The sequence below is a fragment of the Homo sapiens genome, chromosome 6 (genome assembly GCF_000001405.40).
Source record: "Homo sapiens chromosome 6, GRCh38.p14 Primary Assembly".
Taxonomy (NCBI): Eukaryota; Metazoa; Chordata; class Mammalia; order Primates; family Hominidae; genus Homo; species Homo sapiens.
In genome coordinates, this window is record NC_000006.12 from 26950444 (window position 1) to 26972647 (window position 22204).

Here is a 22204-nt window from a genome sequence, read left to right on the forward strand (position 1 = left end):
AAAATTTTCCTAACCTCGCTAGAGAGAGTGACATGTAAATCCAAAAAATACAGCAAACCCAGCTAGGTACTATAAAAGGTGACTATCCCTAAGGCACATAGTCATCATATTCACCAAAGTAAATACAAAAGAAAAAAAAATCTTAAAGGCAGCTAGAGAGAAAGGTCAGGTTTTCATACAGCAAGAACTCCACTAGGCTAGTAGTAAATATCTCAGCAAAAACCTTACAAGCCAGAAGAGATTAAGGGCCTATGTCCAACATCATTAATGAAAATAAATTCCAGGCAATAATTTTATATTTCACTAAACTAAACTTCCTAAGTGAAGAAGAAACAAATTTCTTCTCAGATAAGCAAATACTGAGGGAATCAATTTCAACTTGACCAGCCTTATGAAAGGTCCTTAAGGGAGTGCTATACATTGAGTAAAAAGAATGACACCTGCTACCACAAAAACCCACTTAAGTACATAGCTCACAGGCACTATAAAGTATCTACACAATCAAGTCTACCTAAAAACCAGCTACAAACATGATGATAGGATCAAAATCTCATGTATCAACATTAACCATAAATGTAAACAGGCTAAACACCCCACTTAAATGACGTACAATGGCAAACTGGATAAAAATGCAAGGCTCACCATCTGTAGTCTTCAAGAGACTCATCTCATATGTAATGACAGCCACTGGCCCAAAATAAGGGGATGGAGAAAATCTGCCATGCAAATGATAACAAAAAAGCAGGAGTAACTATTCTTATATCAGATAAAACAGACTTTAATCAAAATTTAAAAGAACAATTGAAGAATGAAGAGCATTACGTCATGAGAAAGTATATGATCAAACAAGAATACTTAAGTACCCTAAATATAAATGCACCCAACATGGAGCACCCACATTCATAAAACAAGTTCTTTTTGGACTACAAAAAGACAGACGACCACCCAATAATTGTAGGAGACTTCAACACCCCCGCTGGCAGCATTGCATCATCAAAGCAGACAACTAAGAAAGAAACTGTGTACTTAAACTTCACACTTGACCATTTGGACCTAATAAGACATCTACAGAACACTCCACTCAATAACCACAGAATATACATTCTTCTCATCTGCACAGGGAACATATTCTAACATTGACCACATGCTTGGTCATAAAGCAAGTCTGGATAAATTTTAAAAAATGAACTCATATCAAGCACACTCTTAGATCTCAATGTAATCAAAATATAAATAAATATCAACATCTCTCAACACTACACAAATAGATGAAAATTAAACAACTTTCTCCTGAATAACTTCTGTGTGAAAATCAAAATTAAGGGAGAAATTTTAAGAAAGTGAAATTAATGAAAATGGGAACACAAATTACCAAAATCTCTGGGATGCAGCTAAATCAGTGTTAAGAGGAACGTTTAAATGCCTTTATCATAAAGTTAGAAATATTTCAAATTAACAATCTAACACTACGCCTAAAGGAACTAGGGAAAAAAAAAAAAGAACAACCCTACATCAACGCCAGGAATGAAAAGCAACAACTAAAATAGAGAAGATCTGAATGAAATTGAGATGCAAAAATCCATACAAAAGATTAATGAAACCAAGAGTTGATTTAAAAAAAGAGATTGATAGACCTTTAGCTAGATAAACAAAGAAAAAAAGGAGAAGATCTAAATATATAAATCAGAATGACAAAAACGACATTAAAAATGGTCCCACAGACATACAAAATAATCCTCAGAGAATACTAGGAATAACTCTAGACACAAAAATCAGAAAATCTAGAGGAAATGGATAAATTTCTGAAAACAGGCAATCTTCCAAGATTGAATCAGGAAGATACTTAAATACTGAAGAGACCAATATGAAGCTCTGAAATTGAGTAAGTAATAAAAAATCTACCAAGCCAAAAAGCCCTGGACTATATGGAGTCACAGCAAAATTCTACCAGAAGTATAGAGAAGAACTAGTACAATTCTACTGAAACTATTCCAGAAAAGTTGAAGAGAACGTACTCCTTCCTAACTCATTCTGTGAAGCCAGAATCAGCTTAATACCAAAACCTGGCAGAGACGCAAAAAAAAAGAACATTCAGGTGACCACTGTTGATGAACATAGACTCAAAAATTCTCAACAAAGTACTAGCAAACTGAATCCATCAGCAGCATATCAAAAAATTTATCTACTATGACAATACAGGCTTTATTCCTGGGATGCATGGCTGGTTCAACATATGCAAATCAATAAACGTGATTCACCAGATAAACAGAATTAAATCAAAAACCATATGATCATCTCAATGGATGCCGGAAAAGCTTTCAATTAAATCCAGTGTCCCTTCATGAAAAAACAAAACAAAAAAAAAACCCTCAACAGTTGAGGCTTCAAATAAGCATACTTCAAAATAAAAAAGAGCTATCTACAACAAACCCACAGCCAATATAATACTGAATGGGCAAAAGCTGAAAGCATTCTCCTTTAGAAATGAAACAAGCCAAGGACATCCACTCTTACCACTCCTATTCAACATAGTACCAGAAATCCTAGTCAGAGCAATCTCGCAACAGAAAAAGAGAAAAGCACCCAAATAGGAAGTAAAGATTAAGGCAAACTATCTGTCTTCACCCAACAATATCATTCTATACCTAAAAAACCTTAAAGACTTCAACAAAAGTCTACTAGAAATGATAAAGGATTTTAGCAAGGTTTCAGGATACAAAATCAATGTACAACAATTAGTAGCATTTCTATACAACAACAACATCCAGGTTGAGAGTTAAATTAAGAACACAATCATATTTACAACACCTAGGATGAAAATAAGATCCCTGCAAATACAACTAACCTAAGATGTGAAAGATCTCCACAAGGAGAATTACAAAACACAGCTGAAATCTGAAGCTGGATGCAGTGGTTCATGCCTTTGGGAGGCCGAGGCAGGTATATCGCTTGGACCCAGGAGTTTGAGACCAACCTGGGCAACATAGTGGAACCTCATCTATACAAATTGTTTTTTGTTTTTTTTTTTAATAGCGAGGCATGGTGGCACATGCCTGTAGTCCTAACTACCCTGACGGCTTGAGGCCAGGAGCTCAAGCCTGCAGTGAGCTATAATAACTCCACTGCATTCCAGCCTGGGTGAAAGGGTGAGACCCTGTCTCAAAAAAGGAAGGAAATAAGAAAAGGAAGGAAGGATGGAAGGAAGGGAGGGAGGAAAGGAGGGAGGGAAGGAAGGAAAGATGGAAGGAAGGAAGGAAGGAAGGAAGGAAGGAAGGAAGGAAGGAAAGAAGGAAGGAAGGAAGGAAGGAAGGAAGGAAGGAAGGAAGGAAATTTTGATAACACAAATAAATGGAATAACATTCCATGTTTACAGATTAAAAGAATCAATATTGTTAAAATGGCCATACTGCCCAAAGCAATTTGTAGATTCAAGGCTATCTCCATGAAACTACCAACATCATTCTTCACAGAATTAGAAAAAACTATTCTAAATTTATATGGAACACCCCCAAAAGCCAGAATGGCCAAAGCAATTCTGAGCAAAAATAATAAAGCCAGAGAGGCATCATACTACCCAATTTCCAGCTATACTATAAGTGTACACTAACCATGATACTGTTACAAAAGCAGACACTTAAGCCAATGGAACAGAATAGAACACTCAAAAATAAAGCTGCACACTTACCACCATCTGATCTTGGACAAGGCCAACAAAAACAAACAACGGGGAAAAGGCACCCTATTCAATAAATGGTGCTGGGACAATTCGCTAGCCATAAGCAGAAGAGTGAAACTGGATGCTTACCTTCCACCATACACACAAATTAATTCAAGATGGATTAACGGTTAAAATGTAAGACTTCAAATTATGAAAACTCTAAAACAAAACCTAGGAAATATTTTTCTCGACACTGGCCTTGGCAAATAATTTTTGGCTAAGTTTCTAAAAACAATTGCAACGAAAACGAAATTGACAAGTGAAAGTCAATCAAACTAAAAAGCTTCTGCACAGCAATAGAAACTATCCACAGAGTAAACAGCCAACTTACAGAATGGGAGAAAATATTTGCAAACTATGCATCTGATAAAGATCTAATATAACAAATCCATAAGGAAGAAAAAATGACAAGCATAAAACAACCCCAGTCAAAAAGGGCAAAGCTAATACAGGAGCAGAAAATCAAACTCCGCATCTTCTCACTTATAAGTGGGAGCTGAACAATGGGAACACATGGACACAGGGAGGGGAACAACACACAGTGGGGAACAACACACAACACACAACACACACTATAATTTTCTGTAGGGGGTTGAGGAGAGGGAGAGCATCAGGAAAAATAGCTAATGCATGCTGGGCTTAATACCTAGGTGATGGGTTGATAGGTGCAGCAAACCACCACCACACACGTTTATCTATGTAACAAAACTGCGCTTCCTGCACATGTACCCCAGAACTTAAAATTTAAATCAAGAAAAGGCAAAGGACATGAACAGATATTTTCTCAAAAGAAGACACTCAAGTATATGAAAAAACACTCATCCTCACTCATCATCAAATAAATAAATGCAAGCAAAAACCACAGTAAGATGCCAACTCACATCAGTCACAATAGCTATAATTAAAAAGTCAAAAAATTAGATGTTGGCCAGGCTGCAGAGTAAAGGGAATGCTTATACAACTACTGTTGGTGGAAATGTAAACTGGTTCAGGCACTGTGGAAAGTATTTTGGAGATTTCTCTAAGAACTTAAAACAGAGATACCCTTCGACCCAGCATTCCCATTACTGGGTATATATTCAAAGGAAAATAAATTATTCTACCAGAAAAATATATATGCACTCGTATGTTCATCAGCATGTTATTCACAACAGCACAGACATGGAATGAACCTAGGTGCCCATCAACGGTGGATTGGATAAAGAAAATGTGGTACATATACACTATGGAATACTATGCCTCCATAAAAAAGAATGAAATTATGTCCTTTGCAGCAACATGGATGGAGCTAAGGACATAATCCTAAGCAAATTAGTGCTGGAAAAGAAAACCAGATACCACACATTCTCACTTATAAGTGGAACCTAAACATTGAGCACACAGGAACATTAACATGGGAACAAGACATGCTGCAGGCTATGGGGGTGGGGGAGAGAGGGGAGCATGGGCTGAATAACTACCTACTGGGTACTATGCTCACTACCAGGGTGCACTGTACAAAAGTAACAAATCTGCATATGCACTATCTGTGTCTGAAAAAAATTGAAATTATAAAAACCAAGAGAATATGTTTCTAATGAATGTAGACTTTATTTGATGGACTGGATTAGAATATAATATTTTTTTAAGGGGAAAGGCATTGGGGGATGCACAATGTCTACAGGTTTCTAAATCTCTCTGGTTTCTCACCTAATTCATAGTCTCTTATGTCATTCTCATAGTTTTCATATTCTGCCTTTCCACCTCTTCTTTTTAACAAGTAAAATTCCTCATAGCATACAAAAAACCAATTTTATAAAAAACCCCTATTATAGATCAGGGACCTGTGGATTATATGCTATTAGAACTACACAAAATGTCTCTGTATAGTTTTCTGTATCTTTGGAATATCTTTGGGTGAAGCTGCAGACCTTCTTGGTGAGTGTTACAGCTCTGCGCAGAGCCAAACAGTGAGCAGCAGCAAGACTGCAAAGAGCAAAAGAACAAAGCCTCCACACTGTGGAAAGGGACCCCAGCACGTTGCTGTTGCTGGCTCTGGCAGCCGCTTTTATTCCCTTATCTCACCCCACCCACATCCTGATGATTGGTCCATTTCATAGAGAGCTGATGGGTTCATTTTACAGAGAGCTGATTGGTCTGTTTACAATCCTTTAGCTAGACACAAAAGTTCTCCAAAGTCCCCACTAGATTAGCTAGACACAGAGCACTGATGGGTGCGTTCACATACCTTGAGCTAGACACAGCATGCTGATTGGTGCATTTACAATCCTCCAGCTAGACGTAATAAGTTCTCCAAGTACCCACCGGACTCAGGAGCCCAGCTGGCTTTGCCTAGTGCATCCCGGCCGCGGGCGGAGCTGCCCGCCAGTCTCTGGCGCGCTCCCGCACTCCTCAGCCGTTGGGCGGTTGACGGGACCGGGTGCCGCGTAGCAGGAGGTGGCGCCCGTCCCCTCGGGGTGGCGCGCGGGAGCCCGCGGCTGGGGGGCGGGGGGCAGGGGACGGGGGCGGGGAGCAGGGTGAGGGCTCCAGCATGGCAGGCTGCAGGTCCCGAGCCCTGCCCCCTTGCCCCGCGGGGAGGTGGCTGAGGCCCAGCGAAAATTCGAGCGCGGCGCCGGCGGGCCATCACTGTTGGGGGACCCAGTGCACCCTCCGCAGCTGCTGGCCCGGGTGCTAAGCCTCTCTCACTGCCCAGGGCCGGCGGCGCCAGCCGACCGCTCAGAGTGCGGGGCGCGCCGAGCCCGCGCCCACCCGGAAGTCGCGCTGGACCTGCGAGCACCGCAGGCAGCCCAGGTTCCGGCCCGCGCCTCTCCCTCCACACCTCCCCGCCGGCAGAGGGAGCCCGCTCAGGCCTCAGCCAGCACAGAGAGGGGCTCCCACGGTGCAGCTGCGGGCTGAAGGGCTCCTGAAGCGCGGCCAGAGTGGGCTGAGGCCGAGGAGGCGCCGAGAGCCAGCGAGGGGATGCCAGCAAGCTGTCACCTCTCAGAAATACAGGAAGAACATCAATAATGTTCGAAGTTATAAAGTAGGTTTCTATCAAGAATAAAACATAAACGATCAAAGAATTCCTTATAAAAACATTTTTTATTTCTAGGAAGCAAAACGTAAATATAAAATTTGAGAGTCCACCAAAAAAAATTAGATGCCAGATTTCACTATAATTATCAGGGAAGCGCCCAAACGGGTTGTTTACGGCGCCTCGGGGAAACTTTCTGTTTCGTGTTAAGGGTCTTGAACCATGATGTTTAGAAAACCGTGGGCTGATGCTTTCAGAACCTCTGTGATTGTTGCCTCTGACACTGCATCCAATAGACTAGCATGTTGATTAGGGAAAGCTAAATTCAATAAAATACGACTGTAAGTGGGGTCACCACCTTGAGGGGTTATGTTAGAAGAGTAGATGATAAGGTGGTATCGATAGGGTATTGACGTCTGGGCTCACATGGTTGCCCGGGGCCTTTCAAGACCAATGACTGATAAGAAGAGGTAATGTTCAGGACATAGAGTTTAGGATTGGGGGACACTGTGAGTTAAGGGCCATGACAGAAGTCTTCATAAGTAAACTGTTATTGACACAAGCTGCTACCTGCCCAGGTGAGCAATCTGTTGGCCCAGAGGAGAGTTGCTTACTGACATAAATTGATTTGCAGAAATTTCCTGAAGCAAACAATAAGTTATTTATTGGTTTGCAGCCTTACTTTCCTGAAAAATAATTTTCTGGAATGAATTGTGAAATCATGTTGACACAGATGGCCTCAGGTTTCAGTTCGGATAATTAAGCTGTGTAAATATAGAAAGTCTAAGGTTTCTGTGTGCTGTTGATTCACAGTATGCAACAGTGATCATATTACTTTTATTTACTATGAGCTTCAGCTGAAAAGTCCAAAAGAAACTTTAATTTCAGATATTTAATGAAATCATTATAGCTGTGGTAATTTCCTTTAGCTGGGTGTGAGTGTGTGATGTGAGCGTGTGATTGTGTGTGTGTGTGTGTGTGTATGTGTGTGTGTACTCTGGCAGCATATTCCAAATTTCTGTAAAATTTCAGTTTGAAATTAATAGAAGACATATTAAATTGTTTAAACTCTTTGTTATTTAACTTCTATATTACTTTAGTTGATTACTCTGTATTATTACGGCAAAGCTTTGATATGTTGCCCTGAATTTAAATGAAAAGGCTGTTCGGCATAAAAACAGGAATATTTTATTACCAAAAAGAATTAACTACCATATGTCATTTACAGAAAAGAGTAAATTCTTCAGGGCATAGAAAATACACATTTCCTTCTGTTTGTGTGGAAATAAGCAAAATACCTGTTATAATAGATTCCTCACAGAATTTTGTGAAGCTTCAGGTAAACTTGAAAGAGAAAAATTAAAATGCTAGAGTTTCATAATTACAAATTGGGATATAAAAATAGAATAATTATTTGAATTTTGTATTCCTCTCCAGGGGATCAAAAGTAATATATGAACTTTTAATAAATATTGATATAGCTTCACGTTGACTCCACATGTGAGCAATTTGCTTTCTGTTAAATTCACAATTGCATAATTTTTTTCAGGCTGGAATGCACTTGGATGCCAGAGATTTTGATTTCTTAATGTGAAATAAGGTGATAATACATTCCAAAGTATATATTTTTTCAACTTTAAATATATCTGGTGTATTTGGAGTAATATCAGAGTAAATACACTTATATGTAAGAGAATCAAAGGAACAAGATATTATTTTATATCCAAGGAAATTAAAACACTTAGAACATAAATACATATTGCATTACTTCATATTAAAGAAATGCTTTACAAAAGAAAATAAAGGAGCTTATTTTATAGCCCCATTTCCACAAATAATAGCAAAGGTACATACACACATCTAATGTTTTACACACTCATTATTGTTTCTCTTAAAATTTGTTGCTTATACTATTTTAAAAAGCAAGCCTATAGATTGTTGTGTGTATATACATCTACACACAACATATATATATGTGTGTGTGTATATATATATATATATATATATATATATATATATATATGGCAGCAAGCAAGAGAATGGGCCTCTTCCTACTGAGGTTTAACATTTGCATGTATATGTATATTTTGATTCACATAGACTTATTGTTCTTTAATTACATGAACAGTGATTCCTGGTTACATTATTGGAAAATGGAAGCAATGCTCAAAGAGCATCACCTAAATTTCCATCATATTTTGCTCTCAATATATTTTGTACATCCAAATATATTGTGATTAATCTGCATACATTTTTGCTGTTCTAGGTGACGCTGATATGAGGCTAGGTAATACACGACCTTAGTCTGCATGTTGTACTTGTGTAACACACATAATTTTACAGTGCTAACAGGTGCTATAATAACTTACTATAGTTAATGATGAATGAAAGAAGGAAGATGTTAAGATGTTAGGGAAGGACTCAAAAGATGCAGTGCTTGAGTTAGAATTTTAAGGGAGATTATGCAAAAGCAGTCACTTAAGGTGGGTTGGGATAATCTAGAATGTGGGAATGATGTATGCAAAGTCACACAGGAGAGATACAGCATGCATGTTTAGAAAATTGTTGATTACATATGGAAAGTTTGCATCCTAGAATGTCAGGATTTTAAGCTAAGTGGGGTTCAAATTAAATTTTTCACATACTTCGCTGCATTATAATAACTAGTTTATGTTTAACTCATCCACTAAGTTATTTGAAAAGAGATGCCAGTGTTCACTCAATCTAGTTGTCTGTCATTAATAATTTAAAAATAATTGAGATTTTAATTTTGGTCTGCTAAGCCTGTTTAATTAAAATTTGACATTAAATAAGATTTTACAGGCCTCATTTTTTTTTCAGTCATCACAGTTTGAATATTAAACATTACTACTTTTATCTCCCTCAGTCAGCATAAAACATGCTACTTACGGTTTTAATAACGAAATTCAATGAGCACCAACAAAATTTGATGTAACTATTAACTTTGAAATTTTATTGAACTAGAACTATGCCTTGGGTATCATTCAAAGCATTTAATTGTTGCAATAAAAAACTTTGAGATAAATTGAAATGATGGACAATATGGGTCGAAAGCAACATTGGCTTGAGGGAATAGGCTAATGTTTGAGAACAGAATTGTTAAGGACAAGATTGGATGTTTATATTATTTTAGGAAAGGTACACTCTAATGGAGTTTAATTCTAAAATGTTTACTATTATGAAAATATTATATATTATATGATCATTATAGAAAATTAAAACTATAAGAACATCAGAAGCAAAATAGCCAAAGTCTACCTAAACCCAATTAGAAGTGAATACTATTAATCTTGATTTGCATGTTTCTAATCTTATTATTATCAAATTAATAAACAGCTTTCAGATATTCTGCTTCTCCCTGTTACTAGATCAGGATAATGTCATTTATGTACAGGCATCTCCTGCTTACTCAGTTCAGCATTGATCAATAAATATTTTAGACTTCCATTCAAAACACTTCCATTTTTCTTTTGCCCATATTCTTTTTATTCAGTGCTGCCTGTTTTCAAATACACAACACTTTGTCAAACAAATTCCAACATTAGATCGGATATAGTTGGTATCAAAGTAGTAATACACATTGCCATTCCTAATCCTCAACGCATTGATCCTGAAAATTATTTGTAAGAATAGAAAAATACTGGATATTTCAAATTAAGTCTCATTTTGTTGCTTACACATGAGAGACTGGAATTAACCAACATAACCATTACAAGGTGATTGAGCAAATGAATAGATGGAAAATATTATAGAAACTTTACTGCAGTTCATCAACCATTGTGGTCATTAGGCCATAGGAAAATACAGTGTGATAGTACCCCTGTCTTCTTTTCCATTTGTTAAGTCTCATATCCAAGTAACAGTGGATAGACCTTATGAGAATACAAAGTGAGATAAAAATAATTTTTGGCTTTTCAATGTATCTTATTTGATCTAAGAGGTATTTCCCCGACTTTGATGCAATAATTATTGTCACAAAATTTGACTTTATTAAAGACCATTTTAAGGATCTTTGCAGCTGACAGCAGTGACTTTTTTACCTCCTACAAAGTTTCAACTGACAGTCTTATTGTCTCTGACTTTCCCAAATTAATGACATAATTAGTCACCAGGGCTTTGGCTGCTCAATAGGGATTTAGTAAGCAATGAGTCATATGTTGGGGAACACTTCAACAAACAAAATGTTGGCAGAGAAAGATGTATGAATCAGCTAGGAAGAAACACTATTCTATCATTGAGGATCTTTCTCCTATTAGATATCACAGAAAAATTTTCATATAGATTACCATATGAGTGAGCCAAAATCTCTAGGAACAAAAAAGCTTAGTATAATTATAACTCCTTGCCATGATTTAACTCAAAATTTCTTTACTTATTTAGCAATTCTATAAACAAGAATCATTTCTGTTAAGGATACTAAGGAGAGTGTTCCTATTGAATCAGAACATTTAAAAGAAATAATTGAGGAACTCACACATGTAAAACGTCATTAACCAAACTAAAATAAAATGTGAGGGCATAAACTTAACCAGAAATGTTTAAAACCTATATATAAAAAAAACTAGAAAACACTTCTGAATGGCACAAATTTGGACTTGAGCACGGGGAAAGAAATTCCATGCTCTTGAAAAAGCCTTAAAATCATAAATGTGCCAGTTCTTTAAATAAACTTATATCTTCTATGTCATAACAAAACGATATTTTCTAGAATTTCTTTGTCCAGATTTAGAAAAATAGACAAATTTACTTGGAGGAATAAAGAAGCAAGAATAGCTAGAAATATCCTATAAAATCAATGGAATTTGGAGTCAATACAAAATATTAAGCAATTCTTAAAGCTTCTATGATTAAAATGAGTTATAAATACAGATAGATGAAGATCATATAGAAAATCAAGACACTGACAGATATGGAAAGGTGGTATATAATGAAAACATTTCAGATCAATGAGGGGGAAATGTTAACTGGAAAAGAATATTAAAAAGGCAATGAACTCAATAAGACAACAAGAAGCAAACCACAGAAAAATAACTGGACTGGATTAAAAAGAAAATATTTTAGACACTTCAAAAGTAAAATATTCAAATAACCAATGAACTTATTAAAAGGTTTTTATTTATATTGGTTATCTGAAAAAATAATTCAAACCACAATGAGATGTAAATACTTGTCATTCAGAATCCTGAATTTGAAAGGAATGTTTTAGAATTCTAAGTTGAAGAGAAAATGCAAAGTATTGATGAGAATGTTGACTAATTAGAACACTCAAATTGATGTTATTGGCATAACTTAGTTCAAATAATTTGGATAAAGATATGTAGTAGGCCCCAAAATTCTACTTGTAAAGATGGTTTCTCCAGAAAGGCATGCATATATATAGCTAAAAAAAAATGTGTACTCATGAAAACACTTTTCAGAATAACACCAAAATAACCCCAAACTGTGGGCCAAAAGTGGACTAAAATACTTATAAAGAGTACAGTAAACAAATAAGTTGTAATATGATCACCTAATAAAATATTAGAGAAATAAATGTAAATAGTTTCATTTGCAGGTCATATAATCAATTAGTCTCACAAATGTAATATTAAGCAAAAAAATGCGGTTCAAAACACTACACACACTATTTGATTCCTTACTGATAAAAGTTAGAATAGTGTTATGTTAGGAGGGATGGGTGGAAATCAGGTGTGTGACTATTACATTTTCTTATTCTGGATGATCATAGTATTTTAAAACTCACTAAGCTTTAAACTTATGTGCATTTACCCATGTGTATACAATACTTTAATAGAAGCTTCAAATCAATAAGAAAACATAAAACTGTCTGATGGAAAAATAGCTTGAGGAAATGAACAGGTATAGCAGAAAAGAAGGGCTGCATATAGTTTAAAAACTTGAAGAGATGTTTAATCTCTTTGCAAATAGAAAAACATACGCATTTAAATTGAAATACCATTTTCATGTTCCAAAATTAAAATTATTAGAAATATGATGGTATACAGTGATGGTAATATGGGAGAAAGGAAACATCCTAGGCAATTTGGCTAAGCTTTTCTGAGGAAGATTTAGGCAATATGCCATTAAGATTTAATGTGAACAAATGGGAAATTTGCCCACATAAATCAATGGAAAGATACTCTATTTTTCAAAATTTAATCTGAAAATACCTAAGCCCCTGATATTTTTCTAAAAACTGGAATGTCCCTGTGGTCATTGGGTTTTAGAGACATAATTTTCACTGTGATGGTCATAATTTTAAAAGGTTACATCATCCATTTTTAGTTAACATATATTGTAGTAACATCACATATCTATGTAATAGAAAAATAGAGTCAATTCATGTAGGGACAGACATGAAAATGACAAATACATATAGAGATAGAAAGGTATCTTGTGCATTATACTGAGAAAGACAATAGAAATAAACAATTTATATGGGTTGATTTATTTTAATTAAGATATATAAGTGGTTAGATAAATGTTAAATAGGTCAGTATGTAATTACAGAAAATGACAAATTGTTATGTATGGTACATTTGCAGGCATAACACAGACATTACATTTTGGAAAATTGTGTTCTATGCAACAGTGCCAAGTCTAATGAAAGTAAGAGGAAGAGGAATTCAGCCAAAGTACCAACCCCTGTTATCCATTCCTTAAGAAAGGAACTTCTTTATACACTCAAAAGAGGGGATTCTTTTTAAATTTGCTTCCAGGGGGACATCTGCATACACATACACATACACACACACACACACACACATACACACACACACACACATTTACATTATATTTAAATGTGTGTGCATGATATATACATGTATTTATTTATTTTATACGTATGTGTTATCCAGGTCCTATATAGGAACACACACACACACACATTTTGAATCAAACACTCTTTCGTATAATTTTGGTGACAAATGTATGCAGTAAATGAGAATACTTTAACTTTCCAAAAAGCTATTCAAAAGTATAATTTTCAAATAAAATATATGTTTGTATGACAACAGATGATTTTTTATAAATAATATATTCTGCATTATCAATCTGCCACTGGTTTTTATTAAATAAAAAAACCCATAAGTTTGTATGCTCTTAAAATACATATAACATTTGTAAGAATAGTTTTTATGTAAAAATAATTATAGTTCACTATAACTATGTTAAAAATAGACATAGCCAGGCAAGTCGCTCATGCCTGTAACCGAGCACTTTGGTAGGCTGAGGCGGGCAGATCACTTGAGGCCAGGAGTTCAAGACCAGTCTGGCCAACATAGCGAAACCCCATCTCTAATAAAAATACAAAAATTAGCCGGGCATGGTGGCACATACCTTGTAATCCCAGCTACTCAGGAAGCTGTGGCAGGAAGACTGCTGGAACCCGGGAGGCAGAGTCTGCAGTGAGACAAGATCATGCCACTGCACTCCAACCTGGGTAACAGAGTGAGACTCTGTCTCAAAAAAGAAAAGAAAAGAAAAAAATAGACACAGATGAAGGGTGTCTTTGATTATGCAAATAGATTACCCATCTTGTACTCACTGTGTTTATTTCAATAAATGATCCACAGAATATGCTACTTTTGATTTATAGTTTTCTTCTCCTTCACCGCTGTGGACTGGGAAAATATTTCTTATTATTTCTGCTGCAGAGTAGCAAAAAATTATGAGCCAGAAGGAAGACCACTACAACAAGCAAAATCTCTGAGTAATCATAAAATGAAGAACTATTTCCTGTTGGGATTCATTGTGAAGAATTTGATTTTAAATTCTTGGTGTTGGCATTTTATTTTTAAAGTTTAGCTTTCTTGCCTATTCTGAAATTGTCAAAAATTCAGAAAAACAATCATGATCATTTGCTTGCTGATCAATGGAGACCTAATGATTTTTAGGCTGTGAGACTACAGTAATAAATAAATAAATAATAAATAAAGTTGATACTTCCTTCTATCGAGGGAAATTGAGCATTTTTCTTATAGTCCTAAATCACCAGAGCAAGGGATATATGTAATACTTGAGTGTTGACATTTTATTAATTTTTATATTTAACTAGAGCTGTAAAGTTGAAACAAATGGGCCAATGCAATATCCCATAAAATATTTTAAAAACACAAAAAAGAAATATCACTAAAATTTAAACATAAAAAAAATACAAAAAAACCCTGAGCTATAGGAAGGGAAGTATCCTCTAAATGCCCAAGTTGAGGGTAGTCCTCTTAGAAAGGCACAGTAAGAAGCAGTGTTTGATGGGAACGTGATTTTTCAAGTATTTTGAATTTTCAAACTCCCCACATTAACTGAGTAAAATGAAAAAAATATATAAACTGCCTCTGAGGCAGAAAAAACATTTGGCATTTTCAAGACAGAATTATAATAAAAATATCTCGCCCCAATAGAATACAAAGAAGCATCCTTAAGCAAATAGAAGGCATCTACGGAAATATCACACTGAAGTTTGAACTAATAAATTATTCATTTAAGATCCAGAAGAAGACAAAGTGTCCTCTTTCACTATTGTTCTCTCTACTGTATGGGAGGAATTAACCAGTGAGACAAATCAAATAAATAAGTAAAACATACACAGTTAAGAAATGAAAAATACAATTCTAAATTTTTAAACAACTCCATTACCTATACATAAACCTCTAGTGACTGTAAAAATCAGCTGCTAGAATAAACTAGTAATTTTAGCCACATCATAGAAAAAATAAGTCAACCCATTAACTTATTTCTATATATTTCCAATGAGCAATTAATGATGAAAATCAAATCCATGTAAAATACTAATAAAAATAAAATATGTATATATGATTTTAACAAATTACATGCAAGATCTCTCTAAATAGGAAACTAGCAAAAGTGTTGGGAGATGTAGGAAAGTTCTAAATAAATGGAGTCACATACAATAATTGATGGTTTTGATGTGTATCCCTGCCCAAATCTGATATGATGTAATCTCCAACGTTAGAGGTGAGGCCTGGTGGGAGGTGATTGGATCATGGGGTGGATTTCTCATGAGTGGTTCAGCATCATCCCTCTTGATATTGTTCTGATAATAGTGAGTGAGTGAGTTCTCATGAGATCTGGTCATTTAAAAGTGTGTAGCACCTTCCCCTTTCACTCTCTTGCTGTTCTGGCCATGTGACGTGCCTGTCCCCCTTTGCTTTCTGCCATGATTGTACGTTTCCTGAGTCTTCCCAGAAGCTAAGTAGATGCCAGCATCATCCTTCCTGTATAGCCTGCAGAACAGTGGGGCAATTAAACCTCATTTCTTCATAAATTGTTGAGTCTTCTGTATTTCTCTATAGCAATGCCAGAACAAACTAATACAATAATCGTGGCTTGAAAGTTCAGTGAATTTTAGTGTGTAAAAGGTTTTGGTTTTTCCAAATTAATCATTCTAGAAATCCTCACCATAATCACAAAAGATATTTTTATATAAATTGACACACTGATTTAAAAATGTACATTACATCAAGAGAGCAAAAACAAATGATAAAAAGCTGAAAAAAAAGTTGGAATACTCACACTTCCTAACACCATGCAATAACTTAAAGCTATAGTCATCAAGAGAATGTGTTATTAGTATATGGATAAACAATTAGAGTAATGGAATGGAATAGAGTTCACAAATAGATCCATGCTTATATGAATAATATAATATCAAAGATACTGCAGTTATTCAAAGGGGAAAGATACTTTTATTTAACAAAGTGTGCAGAACTACGAGATAAATGTGAAGAAAACAAACCCAAGTCCTTCCTCACAACAAAAGCATGAATGAGTTCAAAATTAAATGAGTCCAAAATATATTATGGAACAATATGTAAAAGTGAAAGCATAGGCTTCAAATATAAAGCACAGAAAATGTCTTAGTAAACTACATGAAAGCATTTCTTTTTATGCAAACTGTGGAGAAATTTCTTTTTATTCAGAAAGCAATAATTATATAATGATAAACTATAGAAATGTATAAATATATTTATACTTTAATGTTTATTTTTAATTACACAATTATATATACTATTTATTATGAATAAGAGCAAGAATATATAAATATAATGTACAACATAGAAACAAGAGAACAATAAAAACCAACAGATGCTACACAAAAATGATACAATAGCAAATAAGCAAATGAAAAATTTCTTAATATCGTTAGTAATAAAAAAATAAAATGAGATAATTATACACATCTACTAGAAAAGCTACTATTTTAAAAATTGTGTTACCAATATTTGGCATAGATGTCAAGAAACCAGAATCTAGAGTTTGCATACATTGACGGTGGGAGTGTAACACAGTACAGCTACTTTGGATAACTAAATCTACCTTACATGTACCAATTCCACCCCTAGGCATTTATCCTAGCGGGGAGAAAAGCATAAGTCTATAAAAAGGCTTGCACAAGTACCTTTATTCATTATTGTCAAAAACAGACACCACGCAACTGTCCACCAAGAGCGGCGTTCTCAAGTTCAGCACTATTAGCTGTTGAAGTGGCTTAATTCTTTGTTGTGGGGAGCTATCCTTTGTGGAACCCTGGCCTGTGCACACTCTATCCCCTCCTCCACAAACCTCTGATAACCAAAAGTGTCCCCAAACATTGGAAATGTCCCCTGGCAGGTAAAATGTCCCTCATTTGAGAACCTCTGGTCAAGAGTTTAGTAAATAAATTATAGTGGTATGTCTATGAAATGAAATAATATGTAACAATAAAAAAATGTGCTACTTAAACATGCAAGAAATTGTTGAATCTCAAAAATATTATGCTTAAGGAAAAAAGACAAAAAGAGTTCATACTCTATAATTCTACTGAAATATAATTGTAGAAAATAAAAGCTGATATATGGTAATAAAACCAGATTAGTACTGGATTGACGATGTGTTGAAAGTCAAAAGAAGAGGCTTGAGATCTCTTTATAGTGTGATAGTTTTACAAGTATATACGTATGTTAATGTTTAAAAATTTCACACCTCAAAAATGTGCAGTATACCAGATGTTAATTATATCTCATAAAGCTATTAAAATTTTATCTCAAAATTATAGCTTTATTGCATTTTAGGGCATTATCCAATTTTGAATCTAATCCAGTTATCGTAGCTTAATGCAGTATTATGAAAATAATGCCTATAAAGATCCAGTTCCTCAAACACCCTTGGAACCAATTTTGTCATCTATATTAGTTACCTTGGGCTACTATAATAAAGTAGCACAAGCTGTGTGTCTTTAAGCAACAGAAATTTCTTCTCTCACAGTTGCGGAGGCCAGAAGTCAGAAAACAAGGTGTCTGCAGGACCAACCTCTCCTCTGGATGCTCTAGGTGAGAATCTTTTCCATGCCTTTCTCTTAGCTTCTGATGTTGCCATCAGAACTTCAGATGGTGTTCCTTGGCTTCTGTTAATATTAATACATAAATCCTTTTCAGTCTCAGCTTCTGTCTTCACATGGTCCTCTCCACATCCTATCTGTTTCTGTTCCCTCTTCTTATAAAGATAACCCATGTTATTTTAAGTCCCACCTAAAGACATAATTTTAGCTTGATTACATCTGCAAAAACTTTGTGTCCAAGTAAGGTTTCATTTACCTTATGTGTATAACTAGGGTTTAAGGCTTGAACATACGGGTTTGGGGAGGGGAACACAATTCAGACCATGACACTCATTGTTTCACTCATTAATGAGTTAAGGGTGCTTTGATATTCTTACATTTGAATGAGAGTGGTTTTTAAAATTACATTTTGTCGTGTAGTTTGTTCCACCCTGATGCTTAAAGGGAGTCACCTGCCTCAGCCAATTAAACTATGTTGTCTCTGCAGTGCGTTTTATCACAAGAACATGACCTTTAAGCACAAGAACACCTTGTATTCCACCACTAAAAACAGAAATGACATCTACCTTCACTGCTTCCCTATTTCTCTCCATCTTTACTGACTTGGTGTTTTGTTGTTGCTGTCACTTCTGGTTGTTGGTCAATTTTCATTTCTATTCTTATTTTGCTGATAATTCTTATAAATCAGTGCTGAATTTTGTCAAATTATTTTTCTGCATCTCTACAGATGATCATTTTATGTTTTTGTCCCTGTGATAATTTGGTGAATGTCATTGATCAGTTTTTAAATAATGAATATCTTTGCATTTAAGATAATATTTTTTCACTATTAATGTTATCTCTGAAATGAAAGCTAAACCTAGTCAATAGATATTAGAGGTGCATGATTTTTAAAGTTGTATAAAATTAGATAAAAAATACAAAGAAATAGATATAATTTTAAAACTATGTAAAAATGTAAATGCCAAATGATAGAGCACTAAATGAAGCTTGTAATATTCAATACAATCTTTAGAAACTCTTTTGCAGTGCAGCAAAAAAATAGAACTGAAAACAAAGCAGAAGAAATCACAGATATAAAATTAAAGAGGATAGAATTAAGCACCTGAGTTCCCATATCTAAAGTGAAAATCTAAGAATTTAAATATCATTCAAATACAGACTAAAATACAATATAAAATAAAATTTCCTGAACTAATTTTTAAAATACTGTTTAATTTGTAGATAAAAATGCAGACTAATTTTCTGACTATATTACTACAAAAATCTTCTACAAATATTTTTTAACTAAAATTATAAGAAAAACATCCGTCATAAACACGTAAGATTAATATTTTCGTTTCTGAAGTATAAAATGTCTGGATAGACTTGAGCTTGTTGCTTTAGTTTTATATGTGAAGACTGGAAAAATTCTGTTTTGTTTTGAAAAATATTTTGAGCTAAAAATGTTGTATTCCACATTTGTTAGGAATGGAAGTCTTTAAAATATGAAATATTTCCAATTGAAGAAAAATAGTGAACATGAACTTTATCTGAATAAGATTAATGAAAATTATATGTTGAAAAAGTAAAATAGTTATGTGTACTAACAGTGACTACTAACCCAACAATATAAAATTAAGTAAAAATATTATTACCATGTTAAATACAAATTAAAATTAATTATAAAAAAGTTAAGATCTATGATTAAAGTATTAAAATAAAATGAGACTGTATTCACAAATTTAAAAGCAAATTGGTGAATGACATATTTTTTGAAATAATAAATTCTTTGGCATATTTTATATTTTTTATTATAAATGAAAATTATTTATTTGAAATATTTAAAGGAACAAAATATTTGCAGCTCTATTTTATTGAGAAAGTAATTACAAAACAAAAACAAGGAGTTTTTGTAATTACAAAAGAATATATTAATATTATTTAGAAGCACAAAACCAGAAAAGCTTTATATTATTTCTAACAATAAGTGTAAACCATCTAATTTTCTGAAAAGGGGGGGAAATAAATATTTAACAAAGAAGATGTTATTCTTAAATTGTAATACGTACGTTGCCTAAAAATAAAAAGGTAGTTGAAGATACATTGTGAACAACAAAAAATGAAGAGCTGATAATATTAATGTGCGAAGGAAACTCATAACATATTGTACTAATTATAAATCAGTGTATTGACAAAACCTGAGTCCTCAATTATTATTGACTGTTATTGACATATTAATGATAGAATATTAAATATAGAATATAATAAAGCAATTTAGAATAAAAAAGAGAAAGCGATAGACATGAATAGAAACAAAATGCAACTGTTCTATATTAAAAGCCTTTCTAAATTGCCTGCGTTTTTCTAGTGACCTGTGTCGCTATGCAGTGTAGGCTCAGGTGTCTAGATTTTAGTTGCAGATAAACACAGGTAGTATTTTCCAGATCTCAGAATGACCAGTTACATAAAAATAGGCCATAAACCATATATTTCATTCTTACGGTTGACAAACCTCTAATTCACCTGAAAATATTAAAAAGAAAGAAGACAGACGTGACAGTGGTTGGAAGTTGAGGATAAGAAGAAGTTGGCAGAAATAAGCTTTCTTCTTTTGGACAGCAATGCATGATAAAAAAAATTAAACTAAATTCAGTTCATTTCCACTAACTGGGACTTATTTAGAAACTTTAAGAAAGTCTTTGAAGAATTTCAATTGAGTAGTAAATAAGGGCCAATTTATTTCATAGTGTGGACTCTCAAGACAATATACAGCAGTGCTTCTCAAAGTTAAACAGTATATGAGTGACCTGGAAATGAAGATGCAGATTTAATAGGGCTGGAGAGAAGTCTGAGATTCTCAATTTCTAATGAATTAAATTACAAAGAGGAGAAAATAAGGTTATTGCTTACTTTATATACATTCACAAACACAGGCTAATCAAATAATTGTTTAAAGTATTGCTCTGAGAAGAATTAAATTACATATTTCATAGGAAACATTTTCTTTACATTCGGATTTTATCTATTATTAGAATAATAATAGAATCTTGACTTTATGTAACTCTATATTCCAAACAACTAGAAACTTTTCGATAGCAATTGTTCACCATTTAATAACATTTTTCCAAGATATCTAATGCACTCAAGGACAAAATAGCTGCCTTCCAGTGATTTCCAATTTATTCAATTTTCAGGCAATTTGTCTGCCCACACAATGACAGATTACAGTTACATTCTTGCCACGCTCCGAACAGCTAAGCCAATTGTTTTCAATCTTTTTTCTTCAGCAACTCCATCTCTTAAAGTACTTCAGAGTAGTTCCTGAAAGGATTCCTCTTTAGTTAAATGGCTATACAGCTCTCCCATCATCCAAAATAATCAGTGGAGAGATAGCAATATTTTTCATTACATTAGGCCAAGTTGCATTGCTTCCTTCATCTTGTAATCTGATCAGAAACACCACTATAGATCCAATAATTGAGTTTAGAGTTTCAGAGAATTTGGGGTCACAGAACACCTATGTCTATTTTGTAAAGATTATTGCATATTACTGAAATAGCTAGTCAAACACTGCAGTCTGCTTAAAGTATCAAAATAGAAATGTTGAATGCTGTGTCTGCACAGAGTTCATTTAAGCAAAGAATCTACTAGGCTCTTAAGTCTGTTAATGCAAATTCCTGAATACAGTTGACCCTCCATACCCCCATTGTGGGTGGATTTAACTAACCATGAATCAAACATATTTGTTAAAAGAAATACCAAAAATAATTTTTAAAAAGAAATACAACAATAAATGCAAATAAAAAACAATCCTTGTAACAATTATGTGCATAGCATTTATATTGTATTCAGTATTATTAATGTAAGTAATCTGGAAATGATATAAAGTATACAAGAGGGTGTGTGTAAGTTATATGCAAATACTAGCCCATTTTATATAAGAAACTTGAGCATCTCTGGCTTTTGCTATGAAGGGATGATGGTGGTAGGATTGGTAGTGGTCCTGGAACAAATCCCCAGCAGGTACCAAGGGGGACTGTAGACCCCAAAGCTGTTTAGGAATGAGTCACAGCAGCAGGATTGAGGTAGGAATGCTCCCCACAGAAAACATCAACCACCTGTTGATTTTTGAATC

General features: G+C 34.3%; 1 long non-coding RNA gene and 1 pseudogene across 2 annotated transcripts in view, besides 3 other annotated features; one reads left to right on the top strand and one right to left on the bottom strand.

Moving 5' to 3' along the window:
* GUSBP2 (GUSB pseudogene 2) overlaps positions 1 to 6111 on the bottom strand; it is an 85068-nt pseudogene extending 78957 nt beyond the window's left edge. The window contains exons 1-2 of the transcript NR_003504.3: positions 5946 to 6111; positions 643 to 716 (exon numbers count right to left, since the gene is read on the bottom strand). The product of NR_003504.3 is annotated as a GUSB pseudogene 2 (transcript). The remainder of the gene's footprint in view (positions 1 to 642; positions 717 to 5945) is intronic.
* Positions 6103 to 6572: a silencer, noted in NCBI's record as "silent region_17016". NCBI's record gives its function as "represses an Ori minimal core promoter by ATAC-STARR-seq in GM12878 lymphoblastoid cells {active_cell/tissue: GM12878}" and the evidence as "EXISTENCE:reporter gene assay evidence [ECO:0000049][PMID:35858748]".
* Positions 6103 to 6908: a biological region, named in NCBI's record as "H3K27ac hESC enhancer GRCh37_chr6:26924432-26925130".
* Positions 6210 to 6908: an enhancer, noted in NCBI's record as "H3K27ac hESC enhancer chr6:26924432-26925130 (GRCh37/hg19 assembly coordinates)". NCBI's record gives its function as "activates a minimal SCP1, AML or CMV promoter by ChIP-STARR-seq in naive H9 embryonic stem cells {active_cell/tissue: H9 hESC(naive)}" and the evidence as "EXISTENCE:reporter gene assay evidence [ECO:0000049][PMID:30033119]".
* Positions 6550 to 22204, top strand: part of LINC00240 (long intergenic non-protein coding RNA 240) — a 66982-nt gene continuing 51327 nt past the window's right edge. Inside the window, exons 1-2 of the long non-coding RNA NR_026775.2 lie at positions 6550 to 6740; positions 18015 to 18079. This is a non-coding gene — a long non-coding RNA (long intergenic non-protein coding RNA 240). The remainder of the gene's footprint in view (positions 6741 to 18014; positions 18080 to 22204) is intronic.